Raw genomic sequence first — 15485 nt, 5'->3', positions numbered from 1 at the left:
ACCCTCTCCTGCCCACATCTCTGCATGCTCCTGGGCTTCAAGAAAACACTAGCCAGGACTTTTCTGCCTCTTTTTCCTGCACTCTCAAGGCTCTGCTGTCCTTGAATGAAGTCATACTCCCGCTTTTGAGCTCATCATTCACTTCTTGTGAAATCCCAGCTTCATGTTTGTTCCTGACTGCAAACCTTCACCTATTTGAGTCCTCCCTGCACCAAGGGCAGGGGCCCAGCAAGATTTGAAGGGGTGGGAGTGGTGGAGGGAGAGAGTACTCTCCTTCTCTGATCCCCTTGGCAACTCTTTTCTGGATGCCTGGTGTGAGCTTTGCTGAAGGGGCAGGGAGTCTGCAGGAAAGCGGCTCTGAAAGCCACAGACTTCCTCAACAGATGCAATTAGCACGTCCTGGATTATACTAGACTAGACTAGAGTGTGATGCCCCCAGCACAGGCCCTCCCTCCTCCCCTCACCCCAGGTCCATGTCCCAGCCAATGGGGGCCTCTGGTGGTCACAGAGGAATGGAGATGACCAGGTGCACATACCGATTTTTTTTTTCTGCTGAGCTGTTTATTCAGCCTTTCAGAATCTTCTTGTCACCCACCTTTAAATAACTCCCTTATGAAAAGCAGCTGCCCTTCCTTTCCATGGTTATCTGGGTGCATTTTTTACCCTCTGTGAATCCCATATCTCTTCCAGGTTTGCTTGATTGGGGTATTCACTTAATAGCTAGCGACTGACTCCTCTTTGTCTTTGGCTACTACAGTCTGTCTCTCCTAGTGGCACACATCCATATACTTTATGGCAGGACAGGGCATGATCTGGGGAGGGACTTCAAGGAGAGAACACAAGGGGCCTCTGGGCTGCTGGGGATGCTGTTTTTCTGGATCTGGGTGTTGGATACACAAGCGTGTTCACCTTGTGAAAATTCACTGTGTTTACCCTTAGAGTATTCAATTTTATGTAGTTTTCTTAAAAGAAAGCCAACAAGCAAATGAATTAGCAAAAAATAATAAACCAAAATATGAAACAGAAACAAAAAATTACTTAGGGGCTTAAGCAGAGAAACAATCCAGCAAAAACACACACACACACAGAGACACACACACACCACCCCCCACACATACACACAGATACCCTGACCCCCAACACACACACACTGATAACAACTAGTGCCCCAGCTCCACATATAAGGAGGCAGCCCAGGAAAGGGTGCAAGTAAGAACCTCAGAGTTCCATCAAGAAATACATGCCTGCCTGCCCACGATCCCTCCGAGCCCAGAAAGCTTGCTTTGTACCCCCTGCTGACCATGTGCCCTTCCTTCTCCTTATCACCAGGTACAGGCATGGATGTTATTTATTTATTTATTTTTTTGACAGGCTCAATTTAAAACATTCTCGTTTCTACCTGGTCACTTTATGCAGTACTATGTTTTAAGCATCTCATCAGAGACACCAGCTGGGTAAGGCTTTTAGAAATTGAAAGCCTTGTATGAAAATTGAGGCTAATGGCAGCAAAACTCACACTTCTGCACTCCAAACCTTCATACCTGAGGTCACGCTTTGTCTTTCAGGTGGCCTGAAGCCAGTCTTTAAGCCTTTTGGTTACTACTTTTGAAATCAGCCTCCTAGTCATTCTAAAGGTCATATCCTCAGTCAAGGTTTGCTGTGTCTCTGTTTATTGTCTTTGCTTTTGAGTGTGCATCACATTTTCCTGTTTCTTCATATGTTGCATCATTTTGGATGACTTCCTAGACAGTGTGAATGAAATTTTATAAACAATCTTGATTATGACATGTTCTTCTAACTGTGATATGTTCTTATGTATGTATGCATGCATATATTATATATATAAACAGTCAGCTAGCCTGGCTGAACAAAAACTGCAAACTTGGTCTCCCCTGCACTGGTGGAAACTGAAGTCTCTGTTCAATCTCAGGTGAATTGCTTACAGTCTTCCCTGTGTGCATATTTCAGGGACAGTCAGAGTTGGGCAGCGTATATAGACAGGATTTAGGGCGCCCCCAACCATGACGCTCTTCTTTCTGAGACTGCACTCTCCCCTCATTTTCTAACTCATGTGACTGCCCCAAACTCCATCCTCTGGTTTTTCATGCCAGTGAAGCTGCAGGTTTTTCCATTGGAATTTAAGCTGTCCTTCATGGCAGGGACTTGGAACTTCCCCCAGGCTGAAAACCATAAAACAATGAGAAACTCACCCAGTCCCATTCCCCTATAACCAAGTGTCTGCCTGTTTCTGACTGCCCCCTAATGTCTTCAGAGAGTTGCTGTTATAGTTTATCTTATATTTCTATTTAAAATTATGCATATTATTACCATTAAATAATATATTTAAAACATTTCAAATATTTGCATTGCTATATCAATTATATGGATATTAATATGAAATAATACATCAATATGCTATTAATGTAAAATAGTTACAACATTCATATTTAAGCATTTACATATATAAAACTCAACCTGTATTTAGTGGGTGTTACCTGCAGGAGGATTGCTCCAACAGGATATACTTGGCCTGAAGCAGATCCCCAAGTTGGTTGACTTGAAGCACACATGGAGAAGCCCATGAACGGCTCCAAAGCTCCAAGCATAATTAATTGTGAAGAGACAGTAGAGGAACATTTCTATAAATGCATGTCAGAGCATCCCTCTACATAGAAATGGCAGAAAATTGTGTTTTCACATCCACAAGCATTGATGTGGGGTATAGGGAGATGGGTTGGTGGGGAAGTGCAAAGGCTGATACAATGTAAATAGTCCCTTTCCATGCAGCCACCCAAAAGAAGGACATAGGAGAAAGGAATACCCTGGAGAGGTCCATGAAGCAGGTGTGGGCCTAGGATAGAGTGCCCCACGGAGGCCTGCCTGCTCACCCCACCCCATCACACCTCCTCGGTCATCCCTAGTGCTGAGGAATGAAACCTCAGAGTCATATGACTGTTCACCCTTGTCAAGAGCATGAAATACTGTTCTTTGTTTTAATAAAACAGAACAAAACAAAACAGCTCATCCTCCAAATTCTATCCTAGGCTTTAGTCCCCTTCAGGGAGTTGGGGACCTGGATGAAGGAGAGCAGCACACAGGAAACACAGCTCTGTTTTTCTTTTTCTTTCTTTCTTTTTCTTTCTTTCTTCTTTCTTTCTTTCCTTCCTTCCTTCTTTCATCTTTCTTTCTTTCATTTTATTTTCCTTCCTTCCTTCTTTCCTTCCCTCCTTCTTTTTCTTTCTTTCCTTTCTTTCTCTCTCTCTCTTTCTTTCTTTTCCCCCCTTTAGAGATTGCTGTTCTTTCCATTTAGCCTTCCTAAAGCATCTGGGCTCTCCAAATGCTGACCTCACCCCTCAGGAAAATTTAATATCAATTCTCGAGGCTTAAATTGTGGAAAACTTTTTTTTGTTTGTTTCATTTAGTATAGATTTTCTTTCCACAATACCGTATGGGCTTGTTTCATCCCCCCTTTCATTAACCACCCTTCATCACAATGCACAATGTGTTTTGCATTCCACTGGCACCTACCCTAAGGACGCCATCGGTCACTGGGGCTCTCAGTAGCCAATTGGCACCAAAGGACTGTCAAGAGAGTGGAAAGAATATGGCAGCTTGACATGAAGCCATGCTCATTTTTTTATCAAAGAGTGATTAGACAGATGGAGGCTCAAGATCAGTGAATGGGGAGGGTTCTATGTCATGAGGGGCAAGGAGGTGGTCTCACAAAGGTCGCCAGGAGAGCACTGGAACAGCAGAAGACCCCTTGGTGCACAAGCCTATGTGCAGACTCTAGAGGCATCCTGGGAACATACCAGACCCCCTCACGCCCTACATCACATAAAGCCACAATGTAATGATTTCCCCAAAATGGCAACTTCAAATCTACTCTCATTGCTCACCTCAAATCCTGAATTAATATTTGAGGATCTGGAGCACACTCTCTAGTTAGTAATAATATCTGGGTTTAGAAGCCTGAAAAGAGGAATGTAGCCAGCAAGGTACACAGCTCATAGCAGTATAATTCTACTTCCCTGCCTCCAAAGTCATCCTAAAAAGCCTGAGAAACTTCAAGTGTCATCTCAATCAACACCTTATAGCATGAGTTGTTGATCACTCAATATCTGCTTCAGGATCCCCCAAAGCCCATGTCCAACCCTAAGGTCCCAGAGGTTCATGTGGCCAGAGGTGCTGACGGTTGAGCAGGATGGTTTCTGCAGAGTCCTGTTAATTCCTACAGCGACAGACCGTAACCCAGCAGAAAAGCAGTCGAGAGGGAGCACTGCTCATATTTCTCAGATCTGGGCAAAGCTTCCTAGGATACATCTGTTTTCTTAATTCAGTCTTTATGAAGCCATTACTCACCTCCGAGATCTTAACTCTTTGCCAAATTCCAGACTCCTTTTCTTCCACTTCTCAAGCCGTAAAATACTGGGGTTAACTTCAGACCCAAATCAAGGAAATCTTCTCCCCAATAAAATAATAGTACCACATAATTAAATGTGTGAAAAGTAAAATAATTTTTGTGTAAAATGGGCCACATATATGAAACTATGCTAACTCTCATCTTGTACTTTTATATGGGAAATATGGTGAATTAGAAACGATCAATTTGTATGGAGGAATAAGCTGGGAGGAAGGGAATGGTAGTGGAACTCCTCCACACTTCTCAGTTCGTCTCTCTCTCCAACTGCCTGATGCAGCTTCCATCAACAGAGAAGTGCTGGCACTGAGAAGGTGCCCCTCCTGCTCCATGAAGATGCACTTGATCCAGAAAGATCCATCCCAACTTATCTACCACCTTTGTACTTGCTCCCCTTCCCAAATGCCTGACAACAGCTTTGGCCTCAGGAACTCAAAGCTGCAGGCTTGAGTTGCACATTTCTGCTGAAAGTCCCCAAACCAAAAATTCTATGCATCCTACGGTCAATCATACTCTTATACTCAGCACAAGAAACCACCCCTGGATCTGAACTGACAAGGCTTGTGGGGATCAGAGACTTACATCTAGAAATGCAATTAGAAGGGAACACAAAATATGCATCCCATGCCTGAACGGTGCCAGGAAATCCAGGCACTGTCTTTTCCTTCATGCATTCCTGGTGAATCCAATTTGTTTCACCCATCTTGGTCTGAGCTCAAATTCAACCTTGCACTTTTAGTTTTATAGCATGGAATATCAATTAAATCTGAGATTACCATATTCCATTCTGGCACATAATACTTTTATATAGACATGGTGGCAGATAGGCAGAGCAAGGAAGTTTACTCTTTGTGGAGATATTTCTAAGCTAGCAAGTGTTTTTTTTCTAATTTCTGGTTAAGAAACCTAGGTATTTGTATGTGTTTAGTTTCCACGTATATGCCATTAGCAAACCGTCTGGAAAAGAACTGAAGCAAGCAATACTATTTACAATACCTACCAAAAAATTAAAATACCTAGAAATATATTGAATGAAGGAGGTGAAAGATCTTTACAATGAAAATTATAAAACATTTATAAAAGAAGATGAAGAGGACACAAATAAATGAAAATATATTAAACTTTCTTGGAACCACAAAAGACTCTGGATAGCCAAAGCAATCTTGAGAAAAAAACAAACAAACAAAAAACAAACAAAACAAAAACAAACAGAGCTGGAGGCACCATACTACCTGATTTCAAAATGTACTACAAAGCTACAATAGCCAAAACAGCACAGTACTGGCATAAAAACACATACACCAGTGGAACAATACAGAAAGCCCAGAAACAAACCCACATATTATAGCCAACTGTTTTTGACAAGGTGCCAAGAAGACAATGGAGAAAAAAACTGTCTCTTCAACAAACAGTGTTAGGGAAAACTGGATATCCACATGCGAAATAACGAAATTTGATACCTATCTCTCACCGTATGCAAAATTCACCTCAAAACAGAGTAAAGTCTTCATGCAATACCTGAAACTATGAAACTACAGAAGAAAGCATGGAGGAAACACTCATAGAGGAAATCAAACATAGAGGAAAGACCTCAAGAGCATGAACAAAACCAAAAATAAACAAACTGACTATATCAAACCAAAAAAGCTTCTGCACAGCAATGGGAACAATAAACAGAGTGAAGACACAAGTTATGTAATGGGATAAAATATTTGCAAACTGTACATCTGACAAGGGATTATCTAAAACGTGTAAGGAACTCAAATAATTCAAAAGCAAAAATCAAAATATTTAGGTAAAAAATGGGCAAGTGACTTAGATAGACAAGACATACAAATAACCAACAGGTATATGAAAAAATGTTCACGATCACTAATCATCAGGGAAATGCAAATAAAAATCACAATGAGATATCACCTCACCCAAGTTAGGATGGCTATTATCAAAATGACAAAAAAATAAACAAATGCTGGCAAGGATGTGTAGAAAAAGGAAATTTTACACACTGTTGGTGGTAGTGTAAATTTGTATAGCCATTACAGAAAACACTACGGAGGCCGCTCCAAAAAAATTAAAAATAAATCTAACCAGATGATCCCATTACTGGGTATATACCCATGAAAACATGTCAAAGAGACATCTGCATTCTCATGTTTATTGCAGCATGATTCACAATAGCCAGGATATGGAATCAACCTAAGTGTCCATAAAGAGATGAACAGACAAATAAAATATGGTATGTATACACAATGGAATACTATTCAGCCATAAAAAATCCTGCCATTTGAGACAAGAATGAACCTGGAGGACATTATACTAAGTGAAATAAGCCAGACACAGAATGACAAATATTGCATGATCTTATTTCTATGTCAAATTTAAAAAATAATCTTATAAAAGTTGAGAATATAATAGTGATTATCAGAGACTGGGGAGAATAGGAGGGAGAAAGAAATGAGACAAGGTTGGTCAATGAGAAAATTGTTACAGTTCAATAGGAGGACTAAGTTCTGGTACTATATTTGATGGTAGGGTGACGACAGCCAACAATAATGCATTTTATATTTCAAATAGCTGGAAGAGAGGATTTTTAATGTTCTCACAATACAGAAGTGATCAATGTTAAGGTGATGCATATACTAATTACCATTGATAATTACACAATGTACACATATATCTAAACATAACATTGTACCTCATAAATGTACAATTACTAAATGTCAATAAAAATCTAATTTAATTTAATTTAAAAAGAAACCTAGGTACATAGGGTGGGCATATTCATCAACTTTTTAAAAAATCATTAACCTTATTATTATAACTTACATACAACAAAGGTCACCCATTTTAAGTGTACAGTTCAATGAATCTTAAAAATTGATTTCATCTGTGTGACCACAATAACAATCAAGATATAGAAATTCTGATCATCCCCCCAAAATTTCATCCTCCCCTTTGCATTCAATTTCCAAGTTCCAGCCCTACGCAAGCAAATGATAGGATTTTTGTTACAAAAGATCAGTTTTAGAAATTCATGTAAACTGATACTACAGTATGCAGTCTCACTTCTTTTACTTAGCAAATATTTTTGAGGTTCATTCATGTTGTGTGTTTTGGTAGTTTGTTCCTTTTCATAACTTAGAAGTGTTCCATTTTATGGATATAACATGATTATTTGCCCACTCAATTGTTGCTAGAAATTTTGGTTGTTCTCTGTTTGGGGCTATAACTTATTCATATGGTAACTCTATGTTTACCTCTATAATAAATTCCCAAACTGTGTGCTAAAAAAAGTTGTATAATTTTATGATCTCAACAGCAGTATATAATAATTCCATTTGTTTCACATTAGTGCCAACAATCAGTATTGCCAACCTCTTAAATTTTAGCCATTCTACTGGTTGTGTAATACCATTTCACTGTGGTTTTTAAAAATTTGCATTTCTCTCATGACTACTTATGTTGTGAATCTTTGTAGAGTGTATTGGCCATTCACTTATCTTCTAGGGTCTGGTTAGGTATTTTTTTCATGTTTCATTGAATTGCTTGCCTTATAACTTAATTTTAAGATTTGTTTCCATATTGTAGATACAATTCCCTTGCCAGATATATGTATTATAAATACTTTCTCACAGTTTGTGTCTTGTCATTTTATTTCCTTAAAAACATCTTTCAAGGAACACAATTTTTGGATCAAGTTCAGACTATTAAGTTTTCATTTATGGTTCAAAGTATCTCTCACTTAAAATCATGAATATTTTTAATGACTGGGTTTTGAAATAATCTGTACAACAAACCCTCATGACACAAGTTTACCTGTGTAACAAACCTGTACTTGTACTGCTGAACATAAAAGTTAAAAATAAATAAAAAAAATGTAGAAAATGAAACAATGTATTTTGTTGTTATTTTCTCCTAGATGGTTTATAACTTTCGCTTTTATGTTTAGTCCTATGGTCTACATCAAGTTAATTTTGTGTTTGATGTGAGATAAAGATCGAGGTTAGTTTTTCACCAAATGGATAATCAATTGTTCTAATACTTGTTAAAAAGACTATCTGTTCTTGATTGAACTACCTTGGAAATGTCAGAAAACAATTGACCCATATACGTATAAGTCTATTTCTGCACTCTCCATACTGTTCCATGAAGCTGCATGTTTAGACCAATAATGCACTGTCATGATCAATGTAGCATTATAGTAACTTAAAATCAGACATTGTGAATACTCCAATTTTGACCCTCTTTTTCAAAATTGTTTTGGTCATTCGAGGTCTTTTGCATTTCCAAATTAATTTTTGAATTAGAACATCATTTTATTTAAAAATCATGCTGTTATTTTGATGAGTTTGCACATTATACATCTACTTGATATCTTAACAATATTGAGCCCGTATGGCCATGACCATGCTATATATTTCCATTTATTTAGATCTTTAAATTCTCCTGGTGACTGTTGTAGTTTTCAGTGCAGAGGTCTTGAAAATATTTTGTTAAATATATCCTGATTTTGTGTTTGTTGGTCGCTATAAGTGGTAATGTTTTATTTATCATTTTCAAATTGTTTGCTAGTGGTAAACAGAGATACAATGAATTTTTGTGTTTTGACTCTGTGCCCTACAATCTTGTCAAATCCACTGCTCACTTTTACTGTATGTTTTGTAGACTCCTTAGAATTTTAAAATATATATTAACATGCCATTTATAAATAAAGAGTTATTTAAAGTAAAGTATATACACTATACATTCTAAATTCTGTCCGCTAATCCCACCACATCTGAGTCTATTTCAATTGACAGATTTTTCTCCTAGTTATGGGTCATATTTTCCTGCTTTTCACATGTTTAGTGATTTTTGAGTGAATGCTGAATATTGTGAATGTTTCAGTGTTGATTATCTGGATTCTGTTGGGCTTTGTTCACACAGAGAATTAAGAAACTTGCAAATCAGCTCAATCATTTTGAGGCTTGTTTTGAGGCATTATTAAGGCAGGCCTGGTGTTACTTTACTGAAAGTTTGGCTCCGTTACTAATGAGTCATTTTTTCTGGATTTCCCCTGAATGTCTTGGTTGTTCTTTTTTTTTTTTTTTTTTTTTCTTTAGACGGAGTTTCGCTCTTGTTGCCCAAACTGGAGTGCAATGGTGCGATCCCGGCTCACTGCCACCTCTGCCTCCCGGATTCAAGTGATTCTCCTGCCTCAGCCTCCTGAGTAGCTGGGATTACAGGCATGCACCACCACACCTGGCTAATTTTTTTGTATTTTTAGTAGAGACGGGGTTTCTCTATCTTGGTCAGGCTGGTCTTGAACTCCCAACCTCAGGTGATCTGCCTGCCTCGGCATCCCAGAGTGCTGGGATTACAGGCGTGAGCCACCACGCCCAGCCGTTTTGCCTGATCTGTAATGGGATGTTCTTCGGATCTGCATAATGTTTAGAACACGCTCAGCTCACAGCTCTGTGGTTGCTTTTGCCCAGCCTCCTGGTGTGTTCTCCCGCATATGCATGGCTTGATAGCAGACTCAATGGGAATCTAGGCAGATTGTTGGAACTTTTTATTTCTGCGTATTTTTCTTTCCTTTGTAACTATGTCCCATAAATCCCAGCCATCTCAACCTCCCTGAGCCCTGGCCTTTGTTTCCTCATATCAGAACAGTTACTACTGTTTCTTAGTATCCCGCTTCCTCCATTAGAAGTTGAAAGGGGCTTCAGGGACAAGAGTGGAGCAATTGTCTGTTTCTTTTCTCTCAAAGATGTAGTTCTATGCTGCCTCCTGTTAATGTTTAAAAGCAATTGTTTCACATATTTCTCCCAGTTTTCTAGTTGTTTATGGCAGGAGGAAAAGTCCAGTCTAAGCTCTTCTTAATGGTAAGAAACAGAAGTTCTACCACCCTTTTAATTCACCTCTTCAATATACCTGAGCTAAAATTAACAGCACCTGATGTTTGCTATAAACATGGCACAGAATCTGAGAAGACCCCTCAAAGCTCAGAGGGTGACAAAATTTCTTGCTATTCCACTATACACACCATACCATGGCTTTTACCAATTCAAGAACAAATCTCCAATTCAGCCTTAATTTTAATATTCTGTATTCTCTTGTTGTATCATCTAGCATGTTCCAAGCAGTCTGCTTTGAATTTAGCAGACTATTAGAGTTCTAGAATAAATAACAGGAGTAGCAGAGAGAAAAAATTCGTATTTTTTCTGCTCTGGGTAGTGATAAACTTAGATACTGTTTCCCTTAGTATTTCCAAATTATGTTCACTCTTCAAAGTGCTCAATAAGCGCAAGTAGATCTGCAGTCCTCTGTCTATTTAAAGATAACATAATGGATCAACACAATGTGGCATGTTTATATAATGGAATATTATTTGGCCATACAAAGGAATGAAGCACTGACATAGGGTGCAACACTGATGAGCCTTGGAAACATCACACTAAGTGAAAGAAGCCCATCACAAAAGACCACATATTAGATTATTCCATTCATACGGACTGTCCAAAATAAGCAGACTATAGGCCTATAAAGTATATTGGTAGTTGCTGGCCGGGCACGGTGGCTCACACCTGTAATCCCAGCACTCTGGGAGGCCGAGGTGGGTGGAAAACCTGATCTCAAGGGTTCGAGACCAGCCTGGGCAACATGGTAAAACCCCTGTCTCTACCAAAAATACACACACAGAGACAAACACACACACACACACACACACACACACACACACACAAATTAGCCAGGCGTGGTGGTGGGCATCTGTGGTTGCAGCTACTCAGGATGCTGAGGTGAGAGGATTGCTAGAGCCTTGGAGGCAGAGGTTGCAGTGATCTGAGATGATGCCACCGCATTCCAACCTGGGTGACAGAGTGAGACCGCGTCTCAAACAAAAAAAGTATATTAGACGTTAGTTAGTGTTGGTGGTGATAGCTAAAGCAAATGATAATTTGTGTAATTAAAATGTTCTGTAATTACCTGTGATGATGTTTGCACATATCTGCAGCTATTATAAAACCAATAGAATCGTACACTTAATTTTTTATGTGCATAAATTTAAGGAGTGCAACCGAATTTTGTTACATGGATATGTTGCACAGTGCCGAAGTCTGGGATTTTAGTGTAATCATCACCTGAATAATGTGCACTATGTCCATTAAGAAATTTTTCATTCCTGACATCCGTACACCCTCCCATACATTTGAGTGTCCAGTGTCTCTTATTCCACAACCTATGGCCATGTGTGCACATTATTTAGCTCCCGCTTACAAACTGCAATTACAACATGTTGCATTTGACTTTCTGTTTAAGAGCTGTTTTACTTAAGCTAATGGACTCCAGCTCCATTCATGTTGCTGCAAAAGATATGATTTTATTATTTTCTATGGTTGAGAAGTATTCCATCATGTGTGTCTATTCCACATTTTATTTATCAGTTTATCAGCTGATGGGCATTTAAATGATTCCACATCCTTGCTGTTGTGAATAGTGCTATAATAAACATCTGAGTACAGGTATCTTTTTTACCTAATGACTTCTTCTCCTTTGGGTAGATACCAGCAGTAGGATTGCTGGACTGTATGGTAGTTCTACTTTTAGTTCTTTGAGAAATCTCCATACTGTTTTCCACATAGATTGTACTAATTTACATCCCCACCAACAGTGTATAAGTGTTCCTTTTTTTCTGCATCCTTTGCCAACATCTGTTATTTTTGACTTTTTAGTAATAGCCATTGTGACTGGTGTAAGATGATATCTCAGTTTGCTTTTAATTTACAATTCTCAGAAACAGCATTAGAAACAATTCAGCATCGCTTTTATTATGATTATTATTTTTATAATAGTAAAAATCCTCAACAAACTATACATAGAAGCAACACACCTCAAAATAAAGAGCATATATGATCAACTTATGGCTAAAATCATACCCAATGGAGAAAAATTGAAAACAATGCCCCTAAGAACTTTAACAAGACAAGGATTCCACTTTTACCACTCCTATCCAACATAGTACTGAAAGTCCTAGTCAGAACAATCAGGCAAGAAAAAGAAAAAACAAAGGCACCGAGACTGGAAAATAGGAAGTTGAATTATCTCTATATGCTGACAATATGATCTTATGTATAGAAAACCCCAATGACAAAGCTGGAGGCATCATGCTACCTGACTTCAAACTATGTTATAAGGCTACAGTAACCAAAACAGCATGGTACTGGTACCAAAACAGACATATAGACCAAGGGAACAGCATAGGGACATCAGAAATAAGGCCACACATCTATAACCATCTGATTTTCGACAAACCTGACAAAAACAAGCAATGGGGAAAGGATTCCCTATTTAATAAATGATGCTGGGAAAACTGGCTAACCATATGCAGAAAACTGAAACGGGACCCCTTCCTTACACCTTATACAAAAATTAACTCAAGGCAGACTCAAGACTTAAATGTAAAACCCAAAACCATAAAAACCCTAGAAGAAAATTTAGGCAATACCATTCAGGACATAGGCACCAGCAAAAATTTTATGATGAAATCACCAGAAGCAACTGCATCAAAAGCTAAAATTGGCAAATGGGATCTAATTAAACTAAACAGCTTCTGCACAGAAAAAAAAATCATCAGAACTAACAGGCAATCTACAGAATGGGAGAAAATTTTTTGCAATCTACCTATCTGACAAAGGTCTAATATGCAGAATATACAAGAAACTTTAAATTAAATATTAGAAGAAGACCTAGAGAAAACTTTTCTGGACATTGCTCTCTGCAAAGAATTCATGACTAAGACCTCAGAAAGCACAAGCAGCAAAAGCAAAAATAGACAAATGGGACTTATTAAACTAAAATACTTTTCCATAGAAAAAGAAATAATCAACAGAGGGAACAGACAACCTGCAGAATGGGAGAAAATATTTGCAAAACATGTATCTAACAAGACACTGCTATTCAGAACTTACAAGAAACACAAAGAACTCAACAACAACAAAACAAATTCATAAAAAGTGAGCAAAGGGCATGAACAGACAGTTTGCTTTGTGAATTTGTTTTTTAATTTTAGATTCAAGGGGTACATATGCCTGTTTGTTACATGGGTATTACATGTGTAATGATGGGGGTTGGGCTTCTGTGTGTCTGTCACCCAAATACTGAACATTGTGATAAATAATTTATCAATCCTCACCCCCACCTCCAATTTCCCCTCTTTGGGAGTCCATTTTAGTCTATTATTTCCATCTTTATGTCCATATGTACCCACTGTTTTGCTCCCACTTACAAGCGAGATAATATGCCATATTTGATTTTCTGGTTTTGAGTTAGCTTGCTTAGGATAATGGCCTCTGGTTGATCCATGTAGCTGCAAAGGAGATTATTGCATTCATTTTTATGGCTGCATAGTATTCCATGGTGTACATTTAACACATTTTCTTTATCCAGTCTACCAGTGATGGACACTTAGGTTGGTTCCAGGACTTTGCTATTGTAAATGGTGCCATGATAAAGATACTAGTGCAGGTGTCCGTTTTATACAATGATTTATTTTCCTTTGGGTATATACCCAGCAGTGGGATTGCTCAAAAGAATACAGACACTCAAAGGAAGAAGGGGTCAAAGAAAATAAAAAGAAGACATACATTTAAATGCCGACAATCGTAGGAACTGTACACTTTAAATGAGTAAATTACATGTTTTTGTTTTTGTTTTTGTTTTTGTTTTAGAAAAAAAGGCTGAGGATGGTGACTCACACCTGTAATCCCAATACTTTGGGAGGCCAAGGCAGGTGGATCACCTGAGGTCAGTTCGAAAACAGCCTGGCCAACATGGTGAAACGCTATCTTTACTAAAAATACAAAAATTAGCTGGGCGTGGTGGCTGGTGTCTGTATTCCCAGCTACTCAGGGGAGGGGAGGCAGAGTTTGCAGTGAGCTGAGACTGCCCCACTGCACTCCAGCCTGGGCAACAGACCGAGACTCTGTCTCAAGAAAAAAACAAACAAACAAGCCAAAAAAACAAAGAAAGAAAGAAAAAAGGAACATAATGATCCATCAAGATCCAATGCCAGAGCCCAGAACCCAAACTTCAACTCCACAGATACACAGATTTGACATTTGACATGAACAGAGGTAAATTGGTGGATTAAGCATGCAATTTTAAAAGACTTTTGCTTAGGGGTGTGTGTGTGTGTGTGTGTGTGTGTGTGTGTGTGTGTGTGTGTGTGTCAAAAAAATAGCGCTTTCGAAGCAAGTGTTTTCCATGGTGGGGTGTGTGTGGTATTTGGGGTAAATATGCCAAGAACAAATATAGAAGGTGGAGGTATATATCAGGTTGTTGGAAAAGATAGACCTTTAATCCTATCCAGTGATCTTAGAGGGCAAAATGTGAGTAAAGACTCCTGAAAAAAAAAAAAAACGCTAAGAAAGGACTTTCTGGCAGGGAGTGAGTCTCCTCATTCAATTCACTCATGCCTGTTCCCCTCCTCAGCCCATGTAAAAACGTTGTGTAACTTTGTATAACAATGGGATAGTCCCAGATATTTCACTGGAATCTATGACTTCTTGAGCATTTTTCCTGTCACCATAGTTTCTGAGTTTGTCTTTTCTGCAGTTTCACAGAAGTGGAATCACAGAGTAAACATCCTGATTCTCTCTCCATTCCCTGAGCACAGAGCTTGAATAGTCATCTGTGCTATGGCACGTGTCAGCAGCACCTCCTTCCTACTGCCCAGCAGCACTTGGTTGTGTGAATACACGCCATGCATGTGTTTATCTATTCACCTGGTAAATGGCATTCGGTTGTATCTGGATTGCAGCTATGAGGAATAAAATGGCTCTGAATATTTGCGAACAAGTATTTTTGCAGACATATTTTCATTTGTATTGGATCAATAACTAGAATTAGATTATTGATTCTTATTGTAATTGCATGTTTATAAGAAACTAACAGACTATTTTTCAAAATGATTGTATCCATTGGTTAAGACATAGTCCTTAACTCTCTTTTTTTTTTTTTTTTTTTTTTTTTGAGATGGAGTCTCGCTCTGTCGCCCAGGCTGGAGTGCAATAGTGCGATCTCGGCT

Source organism: Homo sapiens, chromosome 15 (assembly GCF_000001405.40).
Source record: "Homo sapiens chromosome 15, GRCh38.p14 Primary Assembly".
NCBI classification, from domain to species: Eukaryota; Metazoa; Chordata; class Mammalia; order Primates; family Hominidae; genus Homo; species Homo sapiens.
The sequence above is the reverse complement of the archived record's forward strand: the minus strand, read 5'-3'. Positions refer to the sequence as shown.